Raw genomic sequence first — 8348 nt, forward strand, 5'->3', positions numbered from 1 at the left:
CACCTTTCCTGCCCACCCTCCTGAATTCTCCACAAATCTGCCCCCACCTCCTTCTGTTTCTCACACTTTTATAATTAGCCTCACACCAGTCTCTGAGTCACTCCCTCATGGCCCACAAACGTTGGCTACACAACTTGCTGATGAGCTGTTTTTATCAATGGACAGCAGTTGGGAGCTGGATTCAGAGATGTGCCCTCTCTGAGAGCCTGGCATTTCTGGCCCTCCCTGTGTTTCCAGCAAAGGCAGCGATAGTGAAATTTCTGTCTCAGTTGAAGTATTTATGAGACTCATGTTGGAGGCATAACTAAAACTTTGCTGGGGAGAGTCAGGGGTCACTGAGGTGAATTGAGGGGGGCTGTGAGGGTCTGCCTGCCTCCTTCAAGCCCTCCGGAAACATTTGAGTTTCCTCAGAAAGGTTTAAATAGGCCATACTAGTAACCGAATACTTCCCCTGCTCTGGGTCAGACAAGACAAGGGCAACAGGCTGCTGACCTCAGAAAAGGTTGCAGGCTGGCAGACACAGCCCCTTCCCCAAATCTCCCAGCCTCATACCCGGCAGACACACTCAGCTCCAGACCTGGCTGTCACTGTGGAACCCCCTCCACTTCTCCCTGGAAAGCTCACTTCTCTCAGGACCTCCAGCTGCCTTGTCTGAGGCTGAAGGGAAGTCGCACCCAGGAAGACAGGTCTGGAGAAAGGGAAAACCTAGTCCTGAGGCTGCAACTGCCCCGCCGCTGTTCACCCCCCACCCCACCGGCCCCTGCCACCTGCATTTTCCCTTCGAGGGACTATTGTGGCCATGGATGCTATCTGGGTCTGGAAAGAGGTTTGTTTACTCCACAACAGCCCCTGTGAGGCAAGCCCCCTTCGAAGAGGTCAGAGATGTATTTATAGAAACATCTGAGACTCACTTCTCTATTACTTGCACACCTCTGTCTCTTTTAAGCTCTCCCAAATTCCTGACCAAGATGAAATCATGCAGCAAATGGGGAGAATAGGGGAGGCAGAAACCATTTTTCAAAGTGTCTCTGCTTTGAGCAGCCAGGTAGGAGCCGGTTGGAACAAGGACAGAAGGGGCTTCCGAGACAAGCTCGGGTGACAGGAAGCTGCTGGGGTGGCCGTCTTCCTTCCAACCTCCCTCCACCAACAGTTGAATGGCAAAAACATCAGGACACATTGCAAAACAATCTTCCTTCCTCCCCCTGTCCCCTGACAGATGGAAGAGAGGAAAGTTGTGGCCATCATTTACCTGCTGAGATTGGAAGAACGCTGTTGATGAAAGTCGGCTGAGACACGATAGAGAGGAAGAAAAGCTGAAGATAAATTCCCAAAGTCATTGGATTCAGGACAACCATGCTGGCCAGGGTCTGGCGAGGGTCAAGTTAGAAAGGAGGCTGCTGCGGAGCCTTGCTTATCTCTGCTTTTCTCTTCCTCACTGCTGTTTGCGTGCGCGTGTGTTTGTGTGTGTGTGTGTGCGTGTGTGTGTGTGTCTGTGTGTGTGTGTGTCTTTCCCTCTTTCTCTTTCCCTCTCCCTCCTCCTCACCCCCTCCCTCTCTCTCCCTCCCCCACCTCTCCTGTCTCCCATGCCTTTACCAAGAAAGAATGCCAACCATTTCCCATTAAACTGTCTCCATGCTACAGAGAGTTATATTTATCTCAAGCTCCATATCAAATGCCCACATTAAAATTAAGATGTCAAAATTTTCTTTTTTGGAGACTGAGGTAAGTGGCTAGTGAAGAGGTGATGAGAAGGCAGCCAAGTCTCAGATGTTCACTGGAGGCAGTCCTCAAGGGCAGAGAGATTCCTAATTGGTTATGTGCCACCATCTACCTCCTTGGAACTGGGCAGAAACAACTCTCCTGATTCAAACTGAATTTCATGGAGAAAAACCCCTCCACTGTCAGCCTGTGACATTTTTACCCATTGTGTAACAAATGTAAAGTTAACTTTTAATTTTTTTCTTTAATCATCCAATAAAAAGGAGGAAGGAAGTAGTTTATATTTCCAAACAGCTTTCTCTGTGAAAAAGTGTTTCTCTCTCCAAAAGCTGCAACCTTTTGATTCAATGCAAGGCAAAATAAATGAAAACAGTAAAAGTATAGAAAAGTGAATGATTTTTATCAAACTATATTCAGAAAAATAACATCACTAACTTAATCTTTGGCTAGACAAAATTATTCAAATAAAAATTATCACATTCTTAATACCTTTTATGAGTTTATAAAAGCCTGTTATAGAGATGATTAGATGACTAAAACAAAATAATAATTCACAGAGTTGTTCATTTTGCTTTAATTTACATATTACATGCCTCATAGGAGTTAACTCAGAAACAGTCTGCTAGTTACTGGATGCTGGGGTGGGCATCCTGCCCCTGTGCTCATTATGGGGAAGGTGGAGTTGGGTCAGGGCGTGGTATAAAGTGATATTTTACAGCTGTAGCACCACACTTGGGCTTGACTCTCAGCTCTGAGTGGCAGTGGACAAGCTCACCTCTCTAAGCCTCAGTTTTCTCATCCATACAATGGAGACAATGTTCCCTTTAAAGGTTTGTTGGAAAGTTAAGTGAGGTAATGGGGATGAATCCTACACGGATTAGAACTTGCACATAGGAACAGCACAAAGGAGACCCAAGGGAGCCATGGTAGCCTGGGTGCAAAGATGGCCTCCAAAAGTCCTCCCAACCCAGTGTGTGCATGACACTCTTCCCAGCAAAAAGCAGGGCTAGTTCCCCTCCCTTAAATCTGAGGTGGCTCTGTGACTTACTTTGACCAATAGAATGTGGCTAAAGGGACACTGTGCCATCTCCTGGCCTAGGCCTTAAAAGGCCTGGCAGCTCCTGCTTTTGCCTTTTCTTGAAAATCAGCTGCCACTTTAAAAAGTCTGGACTATTGAAGAGGCCACATGGAGGGGGAAGCAGCCAGCCTCCAGCTGTTCTGACTATCCCAGATGCAGCATCAACAGGCGAGTGAGGCCATTTTGGAACATCTAGCCCTGTCCTGGTCTCAGATGATGCCAGCCACAGGAGTGACCCCAAGTGAGACCCTCGAAAGAACTGCCCAGCCCAGATTACGAAGTCATGAGCAAATAAAACGGCTATTGTTTCAAACCAGTAAGTTTTAGGATGACTTGCTCATCAGCAATAGCTAACTGATACAGAGTTGATAAGGAAAGCTTTTGAAAGCATGAAAAATATACCTGAACTACATTCAAAATTTATAGGACAGATTAAAGAGAGGGTACCCCCATTTAGCTGCTCCCAAAATTTTTACAAGAAGGAGCTGTGATTGCTGGCCAAACTCAATCAGGACATTCTCAGGCTCACTCTTGTTAACTCCTGGAGCCCCAGCAGCCAGCTTCCAGTGGCTTGGAGAAGGTACAGTCTACCTGGGAGGAAGGTATCTTTTGAGTAACTTGGTGTCAGAATATGAATTTTTACTATCTAGCTCAGATTCCTCCTCTGCAAAGCCAGTATGACTTCTTCCTTCTCTCAGCACAAAGAATTCACCACTGACCATACCCTTGGAACAAATTCTGTCAATACGTCCTACCGGTGACACCTGCTGCTATTGTTTTTGAACACCACCTTGTGTTGCTATTTAGCTGGCATTAACATCCCTAAAGATAGGGGACTATCCCACAGCTCTATGTACTCTCAAGGCCCCCAGGACAGTCCTTGTCACCTAACAGATCCTCAACAATGTAAGTTACTTTGATCAAATCACACCACTGGGTAGGATGAAAAAAGAAGAACGTACAAAAGTAGCATAACTTTATGCTCCAGCTTTCTGCACAACTTGCATTTCCCCAGCACCCCTTGGAGCCTCTGCACATACAGCTGGGTGGCCTGCGCCTGATACAAGGGAGGGCTTTGGTGAGTATGGTGAGAGTGTGAGAGGGACTATGGATGGCCACCTTGAATTAGGACCCGCAGACAGAGAGGCTAAATTTATAATTCAAGTCACTGGAGAATGAGTCACTGCTGATCTAAAGTTACGACAGGAGCCTCTACCCTTTGAGGAGGCCCCAACACAGAGTTATTTATAAGGCCCCAATACTTATTAAACAATTTTTAGTAAATTTCCATTTCCTTAGGTATCTTATATTTTATGAACCTATTTCTTATAAGATTACCCTAACTGACCAAGACAGAAATTATCATCTTTCTTCAAATCCTCCTGGAAGGGCTCTGATGTTTCCAGAATCTAATAACATAGACTATTAGATTTGTCCAGAAGGAAACTATTTGAGATTTGAGAAAAGCTCACACCAATAAAGCCATTCAAAGTCAGAGTCTTCCCTCTCAGACCTTGTAGGCAGGACTGTACACTGGAAAACAATCTTTTGGCCCCATTAAACTTAAAATGCACATGCCGTCTGACCCAGAAGTTCTCAGAAATACTCATTCACTACCCAGTGGTTTAGGTGCAAGGGTGTGCATTGTTGCCTCAAGTTGGAAACAGCCTAACTGTCCATGAATGAAACATTGGTGGAATAAATCCTGGGACATCCATTCAAAATGTTATGCAGTGACTAGAAAGAATAAGGCAGTCTTTGCAACAAATGGTGCTGGAAAAATTTGACTTCCATATGCAAAACAAACAAATAAAAATAAAGATTAACCCTTACCTTGCCCCATGCATACAAATTATTTTAAAATAGACCACAGACCTAATTGTAAATGCTAAAATATTAAACTTACGGCAGAAAACAGGAGAAAATCTTAGTGACCCTGGGTTAGGTACAGATTTTTTAAATAAGATGCAAAATACAAATCTTAAATTTAAAAAAGTTAAATTGGACATTATAAAAACTTTAATGCTTCTGCTCTTCAAAATAGAATACTAAATTGGAAAGCCAAGCCAAAAACTAGGACGTAATATTTGCCAAACACATATATGATAAATGATTTGTAGCTAGAATATATTAAAACTTTCACAGCTCAATAATAATAAGATAAAAAACTTAATTAAAAGAAATGGCAGGCCAGACATGGCTCACACCTGTAATCTCAGCACCCTGGGAAGCCAAGGTGGGTGGATTACCTGAGGCCAGGAGTTTGAGACCAGCCTGGCCAACATGGTGAAACCCCATCTCAACACAAAATACAAAAATTAGCTGGGTGTGGTGGCACACACCAGTAATCCCAGGTACTCAGGAGGCTGAGGCACAAGAATTGCTTGAACCTGGGAAGCAGAGGTTGCAGTGAGCTGGGCTCACACCACTGCCCTCCACCCTGGGCAACAGAGCAAGACTCTGTTTCAAAAAAAAAAAACTGAAATGAAATAAAGAAATGGACACAGCCTGGACAACATGGCAAAACCCTGTATCTATGAAAAAAAAACAAAAAACAAAAAACAAAAAACAGAACTAGCTGGGTGTGGTGGTGCATGCCTGTAGTCCTAGCTACCTGGGAGGGTGAAGATAAGGGATCACCTGAGCCCAGGAGGTCAAGGCTGCAGTGAGCCATTACTGCGTCACTCCAGCCTGGGCGACAGAATGAGACCCTGTCTCAAAAAAGGGAGGGAAGGAAGGAGGGAAGAAGGGAAGGAAGGAAGGCAAAAGATGCGAATATATATTTCACCAAAGAAGATACATTAATGACAAATAAACATTTGTAAAGATACCCAACATCTTTAGTCATTAGGGAAATGCAAATTAAAACCACAGTGAGATACCACTACACACCTACTAGAATAGCTAAAATTTAAAAGACTGACAATACCAAGTGTTGGTGAGGATATGAAGCAACTGGAATTCTCAAACATTGCTAGTGGGAATGCAAAATGGTGTAACCACTTTGGAAAAAAATGTCAGTTTTTTATAAAGTCAAATATACACTTATTATACATCCAACAATTCTACTCTTCAGTATTTATCCAAGAGAAATGAAACACATGTCCACAGAAAGACTGTACATGAAAGTTCATAACCACTTCATTTGTAATAGCTAAAACTAGAAACAACCCAAATGGCCATCAACCAGTGAATGGATAAACAAACTGCATGTGTACATACAATGCAAAACTACTCAGCAATAAAATGGAATAAACTAAGTAACATGGAAGAATCTCAAGTGCATTATGCTAAGTGAAGGATGCCAGACACAACAGGCTACATACTGTATAATTCCATTAGTAGGACATTCTGGAAAAGGCAAAACTATGGGGCTGGAGAACAGATCCATGGTGCCAGGGGTTAGAATTGTGAGAAGAGAAGGGGGCCCAAGAGAACTAGCAGTGATGAAAATATTCTTTATCTTGATTAGAGTGGTTGTATATTTTGTCAAAATTCATCAAACCGTACTCTCAAAAAGGGTCAGTTTTATTATATGTACATTTTCCATCAGTAAACTTGACTTTAAAAAATAAGAAAAATGTCACATGTATGCACTGACATGGAAGATTGTCAATGGAACACTGTCGAGTGAAATAAGAAAGTGGCAGTATATCCGACCAAATTTCTGAACAAACAAGCAAATCTCTTTATCAGTTTTTATATGTGCGTAGAGAAAGATCTAGAATGATGTACATCCCACAGTATATGGGATAAGAGAAGATAAAAGGAGAATTCCCTTTTCAAGCTTATACATATTTGTATTAAAATTTTTACAATGAGCTTTATTTAACTTGTAATTTAAAAACAAAATTCTATTTTTACAAAATCAAGTTAGGGCGGCCTTAGGAGTAAAGAAAACAGCAGAAAGGAAAAAGGCGCCAATCCTGCATGCCCGAGGTCCAACAAGTCTTTTGCAGACGTGTTGTGAAGAGCAGAGAGTTATTGATTGGTCCTGGCAGAGAAACAGAGCTCTGAGCCTGGTCTCTCTGGCCCAGAATGGATGATACTTCAGTTATGCAGAGGTCATAGCCACCTCCCACCAGCAGGCGGGAGGCAAGCCTGGGCAACTGAGAAGCCCCAGGAAAGCCCCTCCTCACAGCTCACTGTTCCCTGGCAACTTGGTCTTAAATCAAAGCCAGAACTGATGGGGCCTGGGAATGCAAAGCATAGCTTCATCAGAGGGCCAGAAGAGCTAACGAGTCTGATAAGACCCATTAGACTTATCCAGGCATCTCGCCCATAGTTACATCTCCAGGGCCAGGAGCTTAGATTTCCTCACTTTCAGGGCAAAGATAGTAGGCTGGCCTTGAGCCATCTGGAGTGCAATCACAACACTAGCGACAGTAATCTTAACCAATACAGTGTTTTTCATACTATGCTGGGGGGTGTGCTCATTCTGAGATGCATGGTTTTTGAAAAGCAGAGGAGTTCATGGACATTAGGAAACCCTGCCTGTTTTATGTCACTGTTGGAAATTCACAACATTTATTGGCATATCAAAAACACTGAGAAGTCCGGCAGTAAAGAAATGCATTGACTTTGCTTTTACCCCAAACATATTTGACCCTCAAACCCATTTTTATTTAATTCTTATTATTTAGCTCCCCACTTTTCTCTTATCTACATGTTATACACTAAACATGTTACTGGTATGATAAATAATCGTATATAGGGCTTTATTTTGTATGAAATCCTTATCTTTTTTTCATTCGATAGTCATAAGTGAGGCAGCAAGACTAGAATTATAATTCCCATCTTACAGATGAGAAAACTGAGGCTTATGTGAAGTTCTGGGGACAGCAGCAGAGGTTCAGGTCATTGGCTGGCTGGAACAATGCCTAGCAAGACTAGATATGAAGCGTGCAGGCTGCTGAATGACACATCGAATCAGATGTCACCAGTGCTCTAGCCTTTAGGGCTAGACATGTTCTCCATGGAACACCAATCAACCTGTCTTTACCTGAAACCAGACTCAGAAAGGTTGTGAGTCCAAGAATCATTCAACTCTGAGGATGCAAAACCACATTCTTGGTAGGGAGACAGGACATAAGGGAAGGCCAGGGACTTCCGAGGAGACCCCAAAATGCTTTATGACAACCCGAGGATTGATGGTTCTTGAACTAAAGCCCATAGGAAGGAAAAACATCCTGAATCCTGAACAAATAAATCCTAACGTTATTTATTTCAAGAATCATAGGAATAAGTAAGCTCATAATATTTAGTAAGCCACCAAAGGGCGAAACAAATCTGCCTCGCTCTTTCAGGTGGAGCTTGCCCCAGATTTCCCCTAAGGTGAACCCTGGGAAACTTAGGTGACATTCACTGCGAACTCTCTAGCCAGTTCAAATGCATATTCCTAGTATACTATTTGTACTTAACACAAGCTAATTGCAAATTTTTATTTTTATATATTTATTGAAATAATATTACCACCCACAATCCCATCACCTCCCCCAACACCCTCAGCCCATCACCGGCCCCCTACCCCAATCCCAGTCCCCAACCACAC

The 8348-nt window shown here is 43.1% G+C and overlaps 1 protein-coding gene across 2 annotated transcripts in view; it reads right to left on the bottom strand.

The window, feature by feature from the left end:
- COLQ (collagen like tail subunit of asymmetric acetylcholinesterase) overlaps window positions 1-1436 on the bottom strand; it is a 71574-nt gene extending 70138 nt beyond the window's left edge. For both annotated transcript variants that reach the window (NM_080539.4, NM_005677.4), the window contains exon 1: window positions 1250-1436. In NM_080539.4, coding sequence (NP_536800.2) covers window positions 1250-1355 — 106 coding nt within the window. In that variant the 5' untranslated portion in view covers window positions 1356-1436. The remainder of the gene's footprint in view (window positions 1-1249) is intronic.

The sequence above is a fragment of the Homo sapiens genome, chromosome 3, assembly GCF_000001405.40.
Source record: "Homo sapiens chromosome 3, GRCh38.p14 Primary Assembly".
NCBI classification, from domain to species: Eukaryota; Metazoa; Chordata; class Mammalia; order Primates; family Hominidae; genus Homo; species Homo sapiens.